Genomic DNA, 22,565 nt, shown 5'->3' on the forward strand with positions numbered 1-22,565 from the left:
GAGAAAGTCATTCTTAGCAGAAGAAAAGCACGTACAAAGGGTGGAAGACGTACGGTTTTTGACAGATGAATGAATCCTTCTAAAGGTTTTGTAAGAGCTGTGACCAGCTCTGTTTGCTGAGAAAAGGGAAAGTCCTTGAGCACCCATCATACCTCTTCAGACTCTCTTAAAAAGCATTCAGATGTTCTGCCAGAGGAAATGATGTGTTCCAACTACAGCTGCAGTGGAGGGTTCTTTTTGTGCAGCTGAAGCAATTCCTCCACATAGATTGTCCCATTTTAACAGTAAACTGTCTGTTTAAAACAAAACAAAAAAGGTGGGTGGGAAATGGAAGGAGAAGGAGTTTATGCCAGGAAATGAAAATAAGTTGCTGCAGAAGCCTGTTTTGGTTGTGGTTTCAGAGTTAAGGATAAGTTATTAATAATAATAATAAGAGCCCACTTGATAGTTTGTTATATCTCTGTGTGTGTTTTTATGAACTTTTAATTTTCCAGAAAACATTAAAGATAAATTAGAGAACACACTCCTGTTGGAGGAGGTGACCATCTTGCAGCTACCAAACCATAGAATCTTTCACCACTTAACACCTTCCAAGGAACCGGGTAGACTTCTGGTGTCCTCTCTGGTCCTCTTCCCTTCCTTATAGGATGTCAGGCTTTGGACTTAATCAGAGGATAATTAAGGCTCTATCATAGCAGGTGAAGTTTCTGAGTGGAAGTCTAAGAAGTGATGTTTCTATAAGTGTCTTTAGCTGACTGAGCTACTAAGCAGAGGTTAGGAGGTTGTGATGTAATTTAAAGTGACATTGTGGTTACCTTTTATCAAGCTCAATTGTGAGCCTGGAGCTATGTTAACTGCTTCACAGCTATGAGCCTATTTAATTCTTACAGGAATCCTCATTTTAAGATAGGTTTGATTACCCTCCGTTTACAGATGGGGAACTTGAGGTAGAGAGATAAGTGGTTAGTTTGCAATTACACCCAGCATTTGGCATGGCTGGGATTGGAACCAGGGGCCTTCAGTCTTCAAAGCTCTTACATGTAACCACTGAGTGATGCATTGTACTCTCTCCTGTAAAGTAGCCTTTTCTCCCTGCTGCCACTGGTTCATTTCCTTTTCCTTTTTTAAGATGCTTTAAAAAGAACAAAAACCAATAACGTACCTCCTAAATTGAGGTTGATCTCCCTCCTTCCTATCCAATAAGTAATGTTCTAGACTCATGCAAATATTAGATATTTGGGAGAAAAAATGAATAGAACATGTCCCTCCTCTCTTTAGCTCTAAGAAAATTTGTGTGTTCTTATTAATTCCTACTGTTCCACTATCCTACCATATTACCTGATACATATAATACAGTTACAGTCTTCTCAGGGAGACTCTTCTATGCAGTGGCATGCTGGAGCCAGGAAAGCTTGTAAACCCAGCTCAGACATGGACCAGCTGTGAGACCTTGGTGAAGTCACTTTACCCTCCGGGCTTTACTTCTTTTATCACTGTAGTGTTTGATCCAGGTCAGTTCGCAGCCTGGAAGGCACAGCCTTTTCCAGGACACTAAATAGGGCACATGTGCTACCCATTTGCGTGCACACTATCCTTAGGCATTTGTTGAAGAGATGGTTAATAAAATATAAACTCATTAAAAAGCATTACTAAATTCTTACATTTTGTGTTTCTTTGATCAGTGAATGACTGCTAAAATTTAGTACGTTATCAATGGGGAATTTGTTATCTCTTTTTGCATAAAAGGGGTCCTCGGTTTTCGTGAAGTTTAAAGTCCCTCCCCAGGTAGAATATCCATAAAGCCTATGAATGAGTCTTAACTACTTGATTACCCAGATTCTAGCTTTTTGGAATCTTTCATTACCTTACTTTTTTCCCTTCTCGGTGAGCTTTTGGACTTAGGACAAACGGGGAACGATCACAAGGAAATGGATTGACATCTCTACTCTTTCACAATCTTTCCTGAAGACATGATTTTTTTTTGCTATCATGTCTCTAAGTACAGTTGGTCAGTTGTCACTCTGTCACCTTACCTTCCAACCCCATAATTCCTGTGAAACCCTGGACACCTCACTCTTTTTGCAGACCATGAGCTCCTCTGGCCTCACTCCTTTCCTTGTCCAGCTTGCAGTACTTGAGTAATCCCCTCACCCCTCACCACCTTCCTTATTAGTACCCCCAGTTCCCTGAAGCTCTTGTCCTGCCCATTTCCTCCCAGCAGCATGTCACTCATCTGCCCTCATGAGCCTGTGTTCCCCTTACAAGAATCACATCTCTATCTGTACTGTTATTATAGATCAGTGAACTTCAACATCTGATAGCTTTTTCAGTGTTGCCCATCAGTGCATTTACCGAGTTGCTTTTTCTATCCTTTTGGTGATAGTTCCAAATGCTCCCCACTGTCCCCACGGCTATAATGATAGGAAACATTAATACAAAACTTGGTTGTGTTGGAGAAAGTGTGCTAAGAACTTTACATGCATTGTCTCATCTCCGTTCTTGCTAAAGGATCTAACTTTTCCTTCCAACCATCCAGCAACTACTAGCGAGGCATCAACTGTGTCTATGCATGGTGCCAAGCCACAGACTGTAGCTATGATTGATGCAGATTGGGTGCTTGCTCTCAAGAGACCTCTAATTCAGAGGGAGATGCACAGAAGTAAACAGGCAGCAATAACATTGTCCGATAAGTGCTAATGAGGGGAGAAGTTCAATACGCTATAGATGCCCCCAACCCAGACTTAGGGTTGAGGATAAGGAAAACTTGCAGGAAGTTACAGCTCAGTGCCAATCTAAAGGACGAGAGACTATGAGGGAGGAACATAAGGGCATTCTGGACAAAAAGAATACCTGGCTGCTGGAAAGATTTCAGGGAATTGAGAGGGGCCAGTAGGAACAGAGCCATTCTTCTCAGAGAAATTAGAGGTCTTATTTTTGGTGTGAATTCCATAGACTCTCTTTTCTACCTCCTCTGTGATCTGTATCCTCACTTGGTTACTAACTGGAATTAGAATCCCCTGCAATCCTTCACTGTATGCAGATCTCGTAAGACACACTTTCTGTCAATCTCAGTGTGAAGTTTTACTATGCACTTGTATAGCTGCTCCACTGAAATACTATTAGACTGTTAAGGTGAGTGTAGAGGACAATGCTTCTTCAAAATTATTACAGGGAAGTTTATAATAATGGTGACTGACTTGAGGTAGGGGTAGGGTTTTTCAGGAGGGTCTTTCAGTGGTAATCACGCCTAAAATTTTGAATGCTTAAATGAAGCTGCTGCTTAGCTCAATGATAAGTAATAGCAGCTTCTTTTTCCATGAGGACATTTATTAAATGATGTTTTAGGTCTCAGCAAATGTTACGCCTTCAGACACCTTGGCTCAGGAAAGCCTGATGTGCCTCCAGTGAAGGATTTGTAGGTCCACATCTTCGATGCTTCTGCAACACAGAGTTAGGGAAATGAAACAGTGGGTCATACATGCTCCTGATCCATTGCCAACAGCAAAGGGACTTGAGCCCCCACATACCTTTTGACCCTTCTGGTCATGATAAAGCCACCCACTAGCTATAATGCTATAGTCAGCAGTAGAAATAAGAGGGAGCACAAAGCAACTGAATGGTAAAATATTTCAGACCTTTTTGGACCACTTTGGAAGATGGAAGCTGATAACATCATACATCCAAATTCCTCTGCATTGCTGTCTCTCTCTTTACAGGTGGGGAATAGTTTACAGCAATCAGTAGAATCTACTTTTGATTCCAAATGGGTCTTAATTATTTTGTATTTGGGAAATATTTTTTACTTGGCAATAGAGATGTGCCATAATATTATTTAATATTTTGGAAATCACTGTTTCCCATGTGCCTGAACATCTCGAGCACATTTACCCTGAGCGTGGCAGTGCCTGGGTGTCTCACATCCATGTATGCTCAAACCATGCTCCTTGATTTCACCCCTTTCTCTCTGTTTCTTTCATCTCGTAAACTGAGTGCTGATGCCATTTCACACTTTTTCTTGGAAGTTTAATGAGTTAGTAGTAGTATAACAAAAATAAAAATATTTTCTTTACGTTTCTGAAAAGAAATATGTCTATAAAGCGTCAATCATTTTTCCAAGCTGTTAGTTCCTGCTGCTGAGTACTAGGAGCTGTTCTGTCAGCAAGACCACGTAAGGGGGAATAGTAAGAGAAAGCTGTCCCAATTTTCTTTCTCTGGTACAAAAGGTTAGAAGATGTTGTTTCAGCTGGAGAACTTAAGATGGATTCTTATTCACTATTTGCTAAAGAGACTGGACTGTTTTTAGTGTGATAATTTTCTGTAGGCGTGGAGAAAGGTCACCTCCTGATCTTGTTTTGGAGATCATGGGGTTAAATCTGTGGCAGTGTCCTTTTCCTAGACACAGCCTCTTGTCAAAATAATGTTTGGCCAGGTGTTAATCTGTGTCCTGAGGGGAGTGCTGGAATTCATTATTCATCCCGTGGGAGTAGGGGTCAGAGGAGAAGGTTGTCCTTCTGGGAGGTACCAGGGGACATAGCCTGCCTCCTGCCTTTACTGACATGTGCCATTTGTGAGGAGGGCAGTTGAAGTCCATTTGAGGAATTCTCTTGTCAGCCGGCCAACACAGAAACACAGAGGGAGTGGGAGGGAGGGAGAGGCAGGCAGCTTGGCAAGGCAGTCCTGGAGTGCAGTTTCCGGAGCAAGATCACACACAGTGTTTTAGGAGCTCAGGGAAGGTGTGCAGGAACATAAAGGGGAAGGGGGCCAGGTTTGAAAGAGTGGATTTTTCCTATTTTTTCCACCTTTTATTCCTCCTGTCTTTGAATACTTGTCATCCTTTGGAAAACTCAGCATCGGAAAGAAGCCTTTGCTGACACACTGCTTTTTCTCCAGCGCTATATTGTGGGTTTTTTGTTTTTGCTCTTTTCATTTTTCTTTTCCTCTGAGGGCAGGAGGTGAGACAATGATCAAGTCAAGCTGGTTCTATGTTAAGTTCAAGTATGCAGAGAAGGTAAGTCAATATGGTTTCTTTTCCCAGGGGAAACCTGCCACCTCCCTCCAGTCTTGTCATGTTGATGGGCTCCTCTGGCCACTTGGGGAAGTGAATGAAGCTGAGAAGTTGTATTTGTGAATGTATTTCCTTTGGCTTAATGATCCTTGGATGAAGCACAAGCTCTTTGCTTGCAATCTGACGTTGCCGCTGACCAAGTGGAAGCAATCTTCAGACTCTGTTCCGGAGGCATGATTTAGAGTTTAAAGAGGGGAAATAATGAAACTACAATAACAGGAAAGGCAGGATATTCTGCTTTAGATTGAATAGAGAATTTTCAAGGTATTATTTGTTACAAAGGTAGATATATTTTTGGTTCTGAAACAAATTGACAGTCACTTCCTATTACCTGTTGGCTTAGAATTTTTTTCCTCTTTCAGTTAACTAACTGCTTACTCATTTGTAGTCTTACTTGGTTGTAGAAAGAATCCCCATAAGGTTGTCTGACCATATATGAGATGATCTCTTTACTGTCTGTCAGGGGATTATATTTTATGAATGAATTTTGGTTGTACCTAAAATTTTGATGTTAAACAGTTCCACTGTATTTTAACATACCATTTCTGGACTTTTAGGGGAAAAGTGTACTTTCTAATACATCTTCACTTACCGGGGCTGTTTGACATCTTTTTGGTTCCACATCCATATGTGTCACTTACTCTGTTGGGAATTTACAGGATTAGAAATGAGGTTTCCAGGAGAGGATATAGCTCAGAGGTAGAGCATTGGACTGCAGATCAAGAAATGAGATTTCCAGGAGGATCCTAACGTGTGCCTCCCTTTTGAAATCTTCCCTCCTTGATTTGATTGTTGAAAACGTTGGCATATTGATTGTAGAGTTAAGCTGAGGCTCTATAGAATGGAACTGTGATGTGGCAAGATGGAAAATTGTGCGACTGTCTTTATACTCCTTATGATTATATGCATAAGCACATTAAATATGCCTCTTCCATTCACCTAGTTTAAAAAAAAAGTTAGAACATTTTCAACTCCTTTTTACTGCATTTTTTTTTTCTGTGTGGACTTGTTTCTGCTGTGTTTTTAAGACAGCAAAATTACTCTTTCTTTACCCATGTTGAAATTACAGGATTTTTATTTAAAATATCCATTTTTTATTTTAAACTCACTTGCATTGTTAACTATTAAAGCTATTATAAGTAAAATATTATCTATTCATGCACAGGATTGGGAAAGATTGTGGTTTGGGATTTTTTTTTCTCAGTAGATTACTTTCCTTTGAGAAGCCGACCATCCATTGTTTGCTGTTATGAATTTTGATAACTGAAAACTGTACTCTGCCTTCTTATGCTTTCCCTTTTATCTTGAATGTTCTGTCATGGGAACCTGAAACTCAAGAGTTAAGGCACGTAAATAAACTAATGTGAAAAGGGGAAAAGCATTTCCAGAAATGATTGTCATAAAAAGAAAAAGAAGGAGAACGTTAAGTTAATTGCTTCATTTGAATTACCATGCTGCTATTCCTTTAGCAACCAAACAAGCAGAGAATGCTTCCATATGGCAAGGCACAAGTGTAATGTAAAGCTAAGTAATGTAAGGCTCTATACCTAATTGAAGGATATTCGTCTTGATTTTATGAGGATAGAAGAAAAAGAGAAATCTCATTCTTGTTCTTGGCATGGTTATGGTGCTCAAGATCTCAGTGATTCTCTGCAGAACTTTTGTTCTTTCACAATGATTCAATTTAAAAATTTTCATTGGAGATTTTTGTTTTCCAAAACTCATCAAGATGGATTGAGTTTTAACCTAGAGAGATAATAAGTCTTAGTGTAAACACAGGGACAGCATTGATAACAAAACAAACTAAAACCATCTTTTTTGTATTCCTCTAAAAAGCCATTCTTACAAAGGCTTTTTGATTTGGAATTTCCCTCACTATCTTTAAAAGGACAAAAAAAGAAATTCCTCTCTTGATTGTCAACTACTGACCATTTTGATTTGATATAAGCTTGTAATTGTTGGAAAGATATTTCTGCTGTGATGTTTGTCCAAAACTATAAGAAAATACATCACACAATCTCTTCAATATCCATCTCCTAGTTTATCATTTAGGAAGATGATTTAATCAGTCTTCAGTAGTGAGAAAGAAAAATTAAGAATGGCAAGTAACGCATGACCAAAAACATTGGCATAAGAGAATACTGTTCACTTGTGATCACTGGAATCATGATCCCTTTCAAAAATTAAAATATATAATAAAACAAACACTGTTTTTTTAACCACCACCACACTAACACACATGTTCCTCTGTAAGAATTTCCATCTAAATTATTTATGAGTTGTCTCTTTCTTGAATTAGATTGGTGCCTAGCTATCTTTCTTTCTAAAAGAGTGCTTACTTCAATTAATTTCATCCTATACCCCCTTTCTCTTTTTATTCTACATATTCTCCCTGAGCAATTTCCTTTTTGGTGTGTTTTTCTATGTCCTATAAGTGATGATTCCAAAAGCTCTATATCTAGCATAATATCTTTCTTGAGTTTCTGAGGTATATATTTAATTGGTTAGGTAGATATCTGTCCTGAAGTTCAACAGATTCCTCAAATGCAGCATTTCTAAAGTATAGTTAATTTCTTCTTCCTTAACCAAGGATTTTCTTCCTCTTACATCTCCTAGCACAGCTAAGGCATCCCTATCCAGCCAGTCATCTTTGTTCCCAAAGGAGCTGTTTTAGTTCTGTTCTTATCATCTCCCTTCTGGCTTATTAGAGGAGCCTCCTAATCGATCTCCCTGCCACATTCATGGTGCTTCCAGTGCTCCAAAACCCTGCTAGAGGTATCTTAAAAGGTCAGTCTGAGTCTGTTTTGCTGCTTGTTAATGGTTCCCCTCTCCCATCTAAGCATTCTCACTACATCTCCCTCAACAGTGCTAGCCCTTGACCTTGTATATACATAATACACCTTATTGTAATTTCTTATTCACCTGCGTCTTCTATAGTAACATATGATCCTAGAGATACAGAATTACATTGTGTTTTTGATTTTGATTTTTCTATCCAGAATCCCTGCACGTAATAGATATTTATTCCCTGTTGGGTGTTGTGGCTCATCCTTATAATCCCAGCACTTTGGGAGGCCAAGGCGGGAGAATCCCTTGATCCCAGGAGTTCAAGACAAACCTGAGCAACATAGCAAGACCTCATTATCTGCAAAATTAAAAATTAAAAAATTAGCTGGTGTGGTAGCGTGTGTCTGTGGTCTCAGCTACTTGGGAGGCTGAGGTGGGAGGTTCACCTGAGCCTGGGAGGTCGAGGCTGCAGTGGGCTATGATCCCACCACTGCACTTTAGCTTGGGCGACAGAGCAAGACCCTGTCTCAAAAAACCATTTTTCCCCCCTAAATGCTACTGAGTAAATCTGTGACTTTTTCCCAGGAGTCTGGCCGACCTGAGTTTGAATTCTGCTTCTGCCATTTACTGGTAGTATATGACCTTGGGCAATATATTGAAACTCAATTGAATTGTTTTCTCATCTATTAAATGAGGAGTATTATCACCTAATGTATTTTTCAGTTAAACTTCTTATTTTGAGATAATGGTAGTACGTAATAATAGTACAATATGCAGTTTTAAGAAATAAAATGTAAAGATCCCATATGCCCTTTACCTAGTTTCCTCAATGGTAACATATTGTAAAACCATAGTAAAATATCACAACAAGGATATTGACATCAGTACAGTGAAAATACAGAACAACCACATCACCAAAAGTCTCTCTCCTGATGGCCTTTGATAGCCATGCCTCTTTCCTTCTACCTTCACAACCCCCATCATTAACTCCTGATATGCAATCACTTTTCTCCATTTTTATAATTTTGTCGTCTCAAGAATGTTATATAAATGGAATCATACAGGATGCAGCTTTTTGGAATTTTCTGTTTTTACTCAGCATAATGTTTTAGAGATTCGTTCAAGTTGTATGCTATTAGTTTCTGAGTAGTATTCTATGGTATGGGTGTACCATAGTTTATTTAATCATTCTTCTGTTGATGGACATCTGAGTTGTTTTCCTAGAAGTACTATGAACATTTGTTTATAGGTTTTGTTGTGAACATAAGTTTTCTTTTCTCTAGGATAATTGTCCAAGAGTGCAGTTGCTGGGTAGTATGTATAGTATTTGCGTGGTTAATTTTTAAGAAGCCACCAAACTGTCTTCCTGGCTGACTCTACTATTGCATATTCTCTTTAGTGCACTGTATTAGCGATTCCGTTTACTTGCGCATTCACCAGCATGCAATGATGTTGGTGGTGTTTCTGGTTTTTTATTTTAGCCATTCTATTGGTGTGTACTGATGGTGTCCAGTGATGGGTTTTAATTTGCGTTTCCCTAATGGCTAATAATGTTGAACATCTTTTCATTTGCTTATTTGTCATTTGAGTATCTTCTTTTGTTAAATGTCTCTTGCTCTTTAAATGTCTTTTGCCCATTTTCTAATTGGATTTAAAAATTTTTACTGTTGAGTTTTTCACAGTTCCTAATATTTTCTAGACAGTAAGTCTTTATTGGGTATGTGGTTTGCACATATTTTCTTCTAATTTATAGCTTGTCTATTCATCCTCTTTCAGAGTCTTCCTCAGAGTAGAAGTTTTAAACTTTGATGCAGTCCAGTGTATGGATCCTTTCCTTTATATTCTTGCTTTTATTGTCAAGTCTTAAAACTCTTTGCTTATCCTTTGATCCTGAAGATTTTTCTTTTCCTTTTTTCCTAAAAGCTTTATATTTCATATTTAAGTCCATGATCCATTTTGAGATAAATTTTTTATAAGATATGAAACTTAGGTCAAAGTTTTTCTTTGTGTGTGTGTGCGTGCATGTGTGTGTGTGTGTGTGTGTGTGTGTGTGCACGTTCCTGTATATGTCCAGTTGTTTTAGCACCACTTATGGAAAAGACTATTCTTTCTCCATTAAATTGTTCTTGTACCTTTGTCCAAAATCAGTTTACTGTACTTAAATGGGTCTGTTTTGGGTTTCTCTATTCCTCAATTGATTTAATGTCTGTTCCTCTACCAAGATCAAAAAGTCTTGATTACTGTAGCTATTCTTTTTCAAAATTGCTTAAGATAAAATAGTACCTGTGTTTTTTCATATAAATTTTATAATAACCTCATCTGTGTTTACAGAAAATCTTTCCGGTGTTTTGATAAGAATTGTGTTAAACCAGGATATTGGTTTTGGGAATTTTTTTTTTAAGTACTTTGTTGAGTCTTTCTCTTCATGAAGAGGTTTGTCTCTCCGTTTATTTAGATCTTGTTTGATCTCTTTTATCATTTTGTAGTTTTCAGCATACAAGTCCTATATGAATTAGATTTATAACTATCACTTTTGGGGGGCACTTGAAATGGTATTGTATTTCTAATTTAGATTTTACATGCATATTGTTAGTATACAGAATACAACTTATTTTCAAATGTTGTTTTTTGTATCCTGTAACCTTGATAAATGGAGTTATTAGTTTGAGGAACTTATTTGTAGTTCTTTGAAATTTTCTGTATAGACAATTATGTCATTTGCAAATGAGGACAGATTTATTTCTTCCTATCTGATATCTATGCTTTTTAAATTTCCTTTTCTTGGCTAATTGCACTGAGTAGAACTTCTCATGCGGTGTGAACTAAGAGTGGTGAGAGTGAATATCCTTGTCTTGTTCCTGATATTTGGGGAAAAATGCATTCAGTCTTTTGCTGTTTAGTACAATGTTAGCTGTAGGATTTTTCTCTATGTTCTTTATCAAATTGAAGTAGTTCCTTTCTATTCCTAGTTTTCTGAGATTTTTTTTATCATGAATGGATGTAGAATTTTGCCAAATGCTTTTTCTGTGTTAATTGATATAATTATTAGGTTTTTCTTTTATAGCCTATTAATACGGTAGAGTACATTGCTTGATTTTCAGATATTGAACCATTCTTGCAAGCCTGGAAAAAGTTCTATTTAGTCAATGTGTATAATTCTTTGTATGTATCGCTCAATTTTATTTACTTATATTTTGTTAAGGACTTTTGCATCTGTACTTACGAGAAATACTGGTCTGTAATTTTCTTTTTGTAATGGTTTTATTATGAGGATATTACTGGCTCCATAAAATGATTTAAAAGTGTTCACTCCTTATTTGTTTGCTGGAAGAGATTATGTATAATTGGTTTTCATTCTTCTTTAAACATTGTGTGGAATTCTGTAGTGGAAACCCATCTGGGTCTGGAAACGTCTTTTTTAGATATTGTTAATTTAAGAAATTAAATTTTCTTAATTTAAGTTATTGGGCTACTTAAATTACTGTTTTTCATATTTGGTGGGTTCTGGTAGTTTTTCTTTGTAAGGAAGTGGTCCACTTCATCTAAGTTGTCAAATTTAAGTGTGCAGAACTGTTGATAGTATTCTTTATTGACTTCTTGATGTCTGTATAGTTATATTCCTTGTTTCATCCCTGATATTGATAATAATGTCTGTGTCTTTTTTCTGTGTCAGTCATACTAGATGTTTGTCAATTTTATTGATTTTTTTCAAAGAACAAGTTTTGTGTTCCATTGATTTTTCTCTCTTGTTTTCCTGTTTTCAACTTATTTTTTTCTATTCTGTTATCTTAATTATTTCTTCCATCTGCAAGCTAGAAAACCAGGAAAGCTGGAGAGTGTAGTTCAGTCTGACTCTGAAGGCCTGAGAATGAGGGGTCCAGTGGCGTAAATCTCTTTTCAAGACTGAAGGCCTGAGAACCACAAGGGCTGATGTTCCATCTCCAAGGGCAGGAGATTTGGATGTCCCAGCTCAAACAGAGAGTAAATTTCTCCTTCCTCTGCCTTTTTGTTCTGTTTGGGTCTCAATGGATTGAATGAGGTCCACGTGCCCAAATAGGGCATCTTCTTTAATAAGTCTACCAATTCAAATGCTATTCTCTTCCAGAAACATACTCACAGACATACCAAAAAATAATGTTTTACCAGCTCTTTAAGTTGACACATAAATTTAACAATCACATGTATCTTTTTTTAATTTTTGCTGCCTATATTGTTTTATTTAAAGAGAGTTTCTTATGGATAGCATAGAGTTGATTCATTTTTACAAGTTACTGTATCATTGCTCTTTCTTCTGTCCTAGTGACTTAAGATCCTTTCTTTTAGCTATTTTTTTTTAAAAATAGAACTTCCTTTAGCCATTCTTTTAGGGTAGTTCTCCCAGTAACTATTTATTTATTTATTTATTTTTATATGAGGTTGTCTTGATTACCTGTTGCTTACTGAGGAATGTTTGCACTTGATGTAGAATTTTGGTTGACAGTTTCTTTTGTCTTTTTCTTTCTTTCTTTTCTTTTTCTTTCAAGCCATTGAAAAATGTTGTTCTCTTTCTTCTGGCCTTCAGGGTTTCTCATGAGACATCCACTATCCTTCTTTTGTCTAGATGTCATGACTTCTTTCTCCCTGGCTGCTTCCAGATTTTTTTGCTATCTTTAGCAAAGTTTAACTATGATGTGTCTTGGTGTGGGTATCTTTGAGCTTATTCTGTTTTGTATTATCATAGCTTTTTGAATCTGTAGGTGTTGTTTTTGCCAAATTTGAGAATTTTCACCCATCATTTCTTCATGTACTTTTAAAGCCCTATTTTCCTTTTCCTCTCTCTCTGGGACTCTGAAGACACAATTGTTAGATCTTTGGTTATAATCCCACAGATACCTGATACTCTGTTTTTTGTTGTTGTTTTGTTTGTTTGTTTTGTTTTTCAGTCTCTTTTTTTCTCTTTTGTTTAGATGAGTAATTTTAGTTGTTCTTTCAGTTCACTGATTCTTTACTCTCCTCCACCTGGTCTTGAGCCCATCCGTTGAATTTTTTTAATTGTTTTTTTTTTATTTTTATTTTTTTGAGGTGGAGTCTGCTCGGTCCCCCAGGCTGGAGTACAGTGGCATGATCTCGGCTCACTGCAACCTCTGCCTCCTGGGTTCAAGCAATTCTCGGGTCTCAGCCTCCCAAGTAGCTGGGATTACATGCGTGCGCTACCATGCCCAGCTAATTTTTGTATTTTTAGTAGAGACAGGGTTTCACCATGTTGGCCAGGCTGGTCTTGAACTCCTGACCTCAGGTGATCCGCCCACCAAAGTGCTCTGATTACAGGCTTGAACCATCTCGCCCAGCTGATTTTTAAAAAAAATGCATTTTACTCTGGTAAAGATGTATTTAATGAAATTTACCATGTTAACGGTTATTAAGTATACAGTTCAATACTGTTAAATATATTCACATTGCTGTGAAACACATATCCAGAAGTTTTCCATCTTGCAAATCTGAAACTCTTTACCCATTGAACAACTCCATTTTCCTTGCTCCTCTCAGCCCCTGGTAGCCACCAGTCTACTTTCTGTTTCTCTGAATTTGACTACTGTGGATACCTTATGAATATGGAATATACAGTATTTATCTTTTTGGCACTGGCTTATTTCACTTCATAATATCCTCAAGTTTCATCCATGTTGTAGCATGTGACAAGATTCCTTCCTTTCTAAGGCTATATAATATTCCATTGTATGAATATACGGCATACTGTTTGTCCATTCATCCATTGGACATTTGAGTTGCTTCCACCTCTTGGCTATTGTGAATAGTGATGCTATAAGACCCTGCTTTTAGTTCTTTTTGGTATGTATGTAGAAGTGGGATTGTTGGATCATATGGTAGTTCTGTGTTAAATTTTTTGAGGAACCTCCATAGTGTTTTCTATAGCAGTTGCACCATTTTACAATCCCACCATTAGTGCACAAGTGTTCTAATTTCTCCACATCCTCTTCAATACTTGTTCTCTGTTTTTCTTGATAGTAGCAATCTCAATAGATCTGAGGGGATAATGCATTTCTCTAATGATTAGTGATGTTGAGAATCTTTGTTGGCTACCTGTGTATTATCTTTGGAGAAATTTCTATTCAAACTTTTTTTCATTTTTTAATCAGTTATTTGTTTTTCATTGTTTGGTTGCAGAAGTTCTTTACATATTCTGGATTTTAACCTTTTTTCGGGCATATGGTTTGGAAACATTTTTTCCCATTCCATAGGTTTCTTTTTCACTCTGTTGATTGTGTCCTTTGATGAACAAAAGTTTTTAAGTTTGATGTAGTTCCATCTGTCTGTTTTTGCTTTTGTTACCTGTGCTTTTGTTGTCACATCCAAGAAAGATTGTCAAATCCAATGTCATGAAGCTTTTCCTCAATGTTTTCTTCTAGCAGTTTTGTGATTTTATACTTTTATGTCTTACATTTAGGTCTTTATCCATGTTGAGTTAATTTTTGTATATGGTGTAAAGGGTCCAGTTTTATTCTTTTGCATGTGAGCGTCCAGTTTTCCCACACCATTTGTTGAATAAACTATCTTTCTCCATTGAACGGCTTTGACACCTTTGTCAAAGATTGTTTAACCATGTATGTGAAGGTTTATTTCTGGGCTTGATATTATATTCCATTGGTCTGTTTATCTGTCTTCGTGCCAGTACCACACTGTTTTGGTTACCACAGTTTTGTAATATATTTTGAAATCAGAAAGTTTAAGTCCTTTAACTTTGTTCTTTTTCTAAATTGTTTGGTGATTTGGAGTCCTTTGAGATTACATATGAATTTTAGGATGCATTTTTCTATTTCTGCTAAAATTGCCATTGGGATTTTGATAGAGATTGTATTTATGGATCATTTGTGGTACTATGGACATTTTAACAACAGTAGGTATAACAATATTAAAGCCCATGGTCAACCACAAACATGGAATGCCTTTCCATTTATTTGTAGCTCTTTTATTTCAGCAGTGTTTTGTATTTTGGGAGCAGTGTTGGAAGTCTGGACTCCAGTACTTGTCTTTACAGTTTCCCTCTTTTCTGATTCTTTGGCTAAAGACAACAAACTTTTCTAGGGGCTTGTTTTGGTATGTGTCATTGACATTACTGGGTTTCTGTTTTTTCAACTCCAAATCTGATGACATCATATATCATATCGGATATATGAGACCTATAAAATGAAAACTCCTGGAGAACTCACCACCATGTCATTTTTGGGGGCCCCCAGGTTTTAAGCCAGTACGTCATCTTCTTTTCACTTTTCAGAGTCTGTTTATATTTATTTTATGTATAATGTTGAGGGATTTTAGTTGTACTTAGTGTGGATAATAGGGAAAAGTATGTCTACTCCATTTTCTTGGAAGCAGAAGTTCCCTAAGATGCTTTTAAAACAGTGGTTAAATAACATAATGTTGAGAGTATTTGCATGGTGCAAGGCCTGAGTGCTCAATAGAGGGTGATAATTGCCTTTTATTATCTTCATCTTTCTCCTATTTGAAGTATCAGTCACACTTTGCTATAGAGGCAGCTCCAGTTTAAGTTTACCTTGCTTTAGATAAATTGTATTATCACTAACACATACATTTGCATCTTCATACCCTTTATTGCAATTCCATCAAGATGTAGATTCCAGAAACAACATTGTCTTTTCAGTATTTTTCTTTTTCCAGGCAATTTTGACAATGCATTTTTGTAATAAGACTGGAATTACTAATTCTGGTTTTATTGAAAAACTGTTAGCCATTTCAGCCAGAAGAAGATCATGGAGGAAACAATAAATTTTCTTCATGAGCTATTCAATCCAACGAGATACTGAATTAAGTGCAGGAAATCAGTACACTTTTTGTTTGATAAGAAGTGTTCCTCTGAAAAACCATTCTTAGATCATTATAAATATTATTGGTTGGATGCAGTGGCTCATGCCTGTAATCCCAGCACTTTGGGAGGCCAAGGCAGGATGATTGCTTGAGCTCAGGAGTTTGACACCAGCCTAGGCAACATGGTGAAACCCTGTCTTTATAAAAAATAAAAAAATAAAAATTTAGCTGGGTGTAGTGGTATGTGTCTATGGTCCCAGCTAATTGGGAGGCTAAAGTGGGAGGATCTCATGAGCTCAGGAGATTGAGGCTGCAATGAGCCATGATTGCACCTCTGTATTCCAGCCTGGACGGACAGGGCAAGACCCTGTCTGTCTCAAAGAAACAACACACACACACACACACACACACACACACACACACACACACGCACACACGCACACACACACGCACACACACCCATTACCAGTCTTCCTGGGAATTTTATTCTATATCTGTCTATAAGTTTAAAGTTATGTACTCTAGCTTAGCCTTTAACTTCAGAGTTAATTTGAAATTTATTTAAAAACTATTTTTGGAAATTTACATAATCATGATGACTGCATGTAAACTGTTAGTAATATTTTATAGAGTTTCCTTGGGTTTTCTGTTAGAATGAAGTAATAAATTTGTGTCAGAAAACTATTTGGGAAATTTAGAAGAAATTTAAGCTAAGGAACATAAGCTGTGGAGCATGGCCCTAAGAATCCTTTTATTCTCATTTGATAAACAGTAGAATCCAGACAGGGAAGAACCTTATTTTCTCTGCCTTTGCTAGTTGGTGGAGGAAAACTTGCTGTTTGAGACAAGTAGGACTTGATCTTTCTATCCTGTACTTTTTTCATCATCCTCAAAGAGGGCTTATTTCAGTGGATAGACCATTCATAGTTTTGACAGCTCAAATAACCCTTAAGGATGAGCAACAACTGAAAAGTTCCAAGGGCTTTATTTCCAATGGAAGGATTTCAATTACAGTCATTTTTTCAAGTTAGTACAAGGAGGTAAATGGAATCACAGTTTCAAATGTTAAATTTGAAGACTACACCATTACCAGTGTATTTTGGAAATAAAAGATGCAGCCAATCTAAATCAAAGACATGATTCCAGATTACCTCATAAGAGTATGAGGAAGACTACAGGCAGCAATTGAGCCACTTGATATGGAAGAGTATGCAGTGCATCAAATGTGACTTTCATTAAGCCGTGTTACCCTTGTTTGCTACTGAGGGCAGGAGGCATCCTTTTCAACAGCCTGTAATAGCTTCTTGTTGAAAGGCTGCCTGCTATACAGATGCAGCAGCAGAGAGAGAAAAGAGGGATACAGATTCACATATTCGCCTTGTTTTTTAAATGCCATTTTTGCCATTTTTGGAGTTGGTTTCCAGTGCTTAGAATAGCTGTAAGTATATAGTAGTTATTTACTGTATGTTTTTGTGTGAGTAAGTAAGAGAAGGAATTAATGAATTAGGCTTTATAAACTGGAAGTTTTTGTTGTGCACACATTAAGCTAAGCTTCTATCCCTTCTCTTCTCCACATGGTACCACCAGACTTTTCCCCACTTCACCCCCTCATCTACCATTTTTTGTTTTGTGTTTTTGTTTGTTTGTTTTTTGAGATGGAGTCTCTCACTCTGTCGCCCAGGCTGGAATGCAGTGATGCCACTGGGTTCCAGTGATCCTCCAGCCTCAGCCTCCTGAGCAGCTGGGATTACAGGCACCTGCCACCATGCCCAGCTAATTACATCAACCTTTTAAAACTTATTTTTCTCTCTAGAATTTGTTTGTGTGCACTTAAAGAGTAAGTGGGAGGATCTCAAGACAGTACAGAAAGAGTTGGACATCTAGTTCAGTTTTGCAGAGGGAGTGCAGAGAAACTTCCTTGGAGTTATATAATTGATTTTTGGAACCTCATTTGTAGGATAGTTGTGTGGAGAAAGGCATTCAAATTGCATTCACTGTACTTCTTAGGCCAAGGTAGATCTGGTTATGTACATACTTGTTATTTGGTAGAATACTGCTTATGTTGGCATTATCTTTTCCATACTACATTTATGAACTGGAAACAGTTAAAGCTTGAAACTGTTAAAAAAAAAAAGTGTACGCTTACATTGTATGTATTAGAAGTCATATGATTACACATCCTCATCCTCTCACCAGTCCTTTCATGTAGAGCAGCGGTTTGCATCTTTGGCTATACATTGGAACTACCTTGGGAATTAAAAAAAAAATTGATGTCCAAGTATCAACTCTGGAGATTCTGATTCAGTTGATCTGGGATGAAGCCTTGGCGTCAATTTTTTTAAAAAGATCCCCAGGAGTTTACAATGTGCAGTGAGGGCTCGTTTTAGAATGGTATATTGATTTGTGTTCCAATTGTTCTTTCTTGCATAAATCACATCTGTAATTCATTGACCACAGTTGTCTATGAGGCTTATTAAAAATGGTATAACAACTTACACATACATGAATAATTGGAATGCAGAATCATTTTAACTTCCCTTTCCCAGTCTTTCTATAGTCAGTTTGTATTTAATTCAACAATTGTTTTTTGAGAGGCCCACATTTATTAAATGTTTATCTTGTCCAGCTTAATTTCTCTAGAAACAAAATCTCACCTTCATTTTGTACTTATCACTGGTTTACATGTGGTAAATAAAATTAGCAGAAACAGGTTTGGGTATGGTCCACTGTGGTACACGGGTGTCTTATAGAGATGAGTATTCATTGGCTATGAAATGTTCAGTAAGTTTTACAAAGGAAACGAAGATCATCAGTTGATCTAGCTGGTCAGTTGGGGTCAGTTAAAAGAGCATTATTGTAAAAGATTTGTGGTTTGCCTGATTTTAGATCAGTTAACATTCACCCATGAGAAGGTAGGATGTATGTCATTTTTATTTTATAAGTGAATATGTAACTGTATTTTTTTATTTTGTATTTAAATTTTTATTCAATATTTCAAATTAATTAATTTCTAATGTTAATACCTAATATACATAGATATAATCAATATGATCACTGTTATCTCTAGAGTGAAGACAGTTTCTTGCCAACAATTTTTATATCCCATTATAACCATCCAGATGAGTTCATTATGGGCTTTCAGTACACACTATCAGCGCTTAAGAGTCTTGAGTTCATTCTGGTCTTTGATTATCACATGTCTTGAAATACACACCACATTAGATTTGTAAATAAATTGTAGAAAAATCTTAAGACTGAAATTTAGATATTAACAAACATTATTTCCTCTTGAGATATGCTAACAGACATCAGAGCATTAGTAGGTCACTAAAGAGTGAAGATGAGTCAGACCCATCAAAATACATATACTCGTTCTACCACTTGATATGTACACACTTCGAGTTGGTAATTTATTCCCAGTTGTTTGTGACGGTTGCATTTGTGCTTATCTTCTCTTAGTTTCACAAGGGTAGCTAATCATGAGTTTTTGTCTGTTTTTGCTGAACTTTACCTACTGTCTTATTAATCTTGTTTATATCAGTGTGAGTTTCTTAAGGACAAGGACTCGTAGGCACCAACACAGAAAGCAATTTTAGGAATATACTGTCTGAATTAAATGTATTAAATCAGTCAACAAATAGGAACCTTTTGAGAAATGGTCCTGAAAACATTTTTGTTTGCTTTTTTTCCTAGAGAGGAAATAAACGGGTTTATAAGCTGCTGAGTGCAAGTATCATGGTCTGTGCCTTTTCTTCTTGACTGCTCTGCTATATTCTCTTTCAGAAAGCTGAGTAGCTCAGCACAGTGAATACTAAAGGGAATGCATTCCTTCTCTCTCAGGGGACTGAAGCAGTGTTTAACACCACTGTAAAATCCTCAGCTGTGGCTTTCTCTGGTGTAGAATTTGTCTAAGAAAGATTAAAAGAACAAGGAAAGCTTTGTGTGCTGTTTCTCTTTCTTTTCTTCACCCCTCCTGCTCCAGGCTATCCTGAGGGGGGAAAAAAAACGTGGAGTATTTTCCTTGGACCTCTGGAGTATGCATGTTATGTATGTGTGAGTCTTAGAGAAAAATAAAGGCAAATGCAAGGCATGCCTGCTAGTGGGAGTCATCACCCATGGGTGAAATGAAGAAAACTACATGAGTGCGTTTGCGTTTATACGGCCACTTTTTCCATTGAATGACCCAAACAAGATGCCAGTGACAAAGCATTGGTCCTACATGTGATAAAACAGCGGCCTGGCCATTTGCTTAATTGGTGGAGAACTCAGGTGTGTTACTCTTGGCAGAGGTGAAAGCCTTCATAGAGAATTAGAAGGGGTATAATTTGGGCACTGTACTCAGAATCTTTCTTGGTATATTGTTTAAGAGCTTCATTGCAGTGACTGCCATTCAGCAAGAAATAAGAGATGACTTTTAAATATTTGGCCAGATTTTATAGTGGCAAGGACAGAGTTTTAGAGCTGAAGAGCCATTTAGTTCAATCCCATCAATCTGCAAATGTGAACAGTAAGCCCAGAATCACATTTAGTGTTAGTGGCCAGAAGGGAGACCTTGGCTATGAACATTTACCCTACCGGAAACTAATGGCGTAACCAGATTTGAACCTTTTCTTCCATTCTGTACTAGGTTGTCTTTTCTTTGTTAGGAAAAGCCTATTATAAACGGAACATTGACATGAATTTTAATTTTTGCATATTTTCTTACAACATTTGCCCTTACTGCATTTTATAACTAATTGTATATACTTTTATATTTTCCTTTTTGTACTCATGATTCTAATGTTTCTATGTGGCATTTCTCACAATCTCTGTGGGGTTTTATTATAATTTGCTAAATTATTCCCTTGTTTGGGGGCATTTATATAAACTTTTTTTTTTTTTGCCATGAAAGAGAAAGCCACAGCAAACAATGTATATATGTAGCTCTTTATTCTCTCAAGTTATTGTTTTTGTTCTCATCATCTGAGTTATTGGGGGTGACTTCATTACAGCAGTGGAAAACACATGGTAACCTGCCAGCATCAGAAGGTGTCGCTTTGTACTGTGTGTGTGTGTGTGTGTGAAGGTTATGTGGGTATGACTGTGTAGGAAAGAAAAAAAGTGCTACTCTTTGTAGATCAAACAATTGATGAGTCTTAATGTAGGATTACGTGTTGCCTGTTAAATTGCTATTTCTGCTGAGAAAGATAAAGGCATTTTTATTAGTGTAGTTGATTAGCTTTATTAATGTTGGACAAAATCAATGTTATGAAAATGAAATCTATAGTTTTGGGGTAAAATAAAATTTAATAGGTAGGTGACCCATTCATACACTTATGTGAAGTAATTTTTGAAATGATAACATGCATGAAAATTTACTATCTATACTAAATGTATATTCAAAGATATTCTTCCTCTAGGGTTCTAGTTATAAACCCTTATAAACCCTTATAAAATACTATGATTCACATATACAACTTATAAAATACTGTGATTCATCAGACAGCTCTAGTTTCATTTTATCTATTGACTCTGATTTAAATTATCACTCTTTTTTATGCAGGAATATGTGGTAACAAGTTATATGGTAAGAAATTTAAATGTAAAGATTTTGACCTAACGTTGATTCAGATTGTAGAGCTGTCAGTTGAAAAGGGAAACTTCATGTTTAGAAATTTGAGTTCTGCTGGGCGCAGTGGCTCACGCTTGTAATCCCAGCACTTTGGGAGGCCAAGGCGGGCGGATCACGAGGTCAGGAGATCGAGACCACGGTGAAACCCCGTCTCTACTAAAAATACAAAAAAAATTAGCCGGGCATGGTGGCAGGCGCCTGTAGTCCCAGCTACTTGGGAGGCTGAGGCAGGAGAATGGCGTGAACTCAGGAGGTGGAGCTTGCAGTGAGCCAAGATCACGCCACTGCACTCCAGCCTGGGCGACAGAGTGAGACTCTGTCTCAAAAAAAAAAAAAAAAAAAAATTGAGTTCTAAAATGTTTGTGAAAAATTTGATAGGTTCTTTAATAAATGTTTATTTCCAACAAAAATTTTCCTGGTGGAGGAGTTATTAGGACCAGTGAGCATGCATTTTTTTTTACCGTCTTGATTGTATTATCATATTAGCTTCAAGAAATGTTTGTTTCACGTTACTTATCTTTGTTTGTCAATGAGGTCAGACACTTTCCCCCACGCTGAGAACAGTATCCACTGCCTCTGAGGTGGATAGTCTCTAGAAATCCTTTCCCTGTCCTGGAGCAGTTTGCCTGAAAGTGCCATAGTTGGTAGCAAATTCCCTTCCACTCCTCTTCCTGCCTGTTAACACTTTCTGGAAACCCAGGTCCCCATGTGCTTTAGCACTCTCTGTAATCATTTGTGGGCCTCTGCAGATGAGCAGTCTGGGAGCTGTGGATGAGGGGCTGGGCAACTTCTGTCATGTGCCATTGCTGTGAGATCTTTTCTTCACCAGAATCTGGGGGTGATTTAGAATAATGGTTAGTTAGTGACATGAAGTTTTGGAAAGTTTTTTGTTGACATTTTTAAGAAGAAGAAAAACTGATGATGAACTAAAATAAAGCTGTTCTTTCAGCCATGTCTCTGAAACCATTGAGAAGGTTTCCAGGTACATTTTGGGCAGTAAAGAAGATGTGGACTGGGCATTCCTGTAATCCCAGCGCTGTGGGAGCCTGAGGCAGGAGGATCACTTGAACCCAGGAGGTCTAGGCCACAGTGAGCTATGGTCATGCCACTGCACTCTAGCCTGAGCAACAGAGGAAGACTCTCTAAAAAAAAAAAAAAAAAAAAGAAAGGAAAAGAAAACGTGCCCTGTTTTTCTGTTGTTGAGCCTTATTTATTTTCCTTGCTCTCAGCAGCTCTGTGGTTCCATCACTTGGCTGCCTTCACGGTGCCTCTGACTAG

At 37.2% G+C, this 22,565-nt stretch overlaps 1 protein-coding gene across 26 annotated transcripts in view; it reads left to right on the top strand.

Annotated features, from left to right (window-relative positions):
• Positions 1-22,565, top strand: part of AUTS2 (activator of transcription and developmental regulator AUTS2) — a 1,195,032-nt gene that overhangs the window by 364,322 nt on the left and 808,145 nt on the right. For 5 of the 26 annotated variants that reach the window (XM_011516017.3, XM_047420164.1, XM_047420163.1 and 2 more), the window contains exon 1: positions 4,674-5,008. The exons of the other annotated variants lie outside the window; for them this stretch is intronic. In XM_011516017.3, the coding sequence (XP_011514319.1) occupies positions 4,961-5,008 (48 nt within the window). In that variant the 5' untranslated portion in view covers positions 4,674-4,960. Of the gene's footprint in view, positions 1-4,673; positions 5,009-22,565 lie in introns of those variants that run through there. 26 annotated transcript variants of the gene reach the window in all.

Source organism: Homo sapiens, chromosome 7 (assembly GCF_000001405.40).
Source record: "Homo sapiens chromosome 7, GRCh38.p14 Primary Assembly".
NCBI classification, from domain to species: domain Eukaryota; kingdom Metazoa; phylum Chordata; class Mammalia; order Primates; family Hominidae; genus Homo; species Homo sapiens.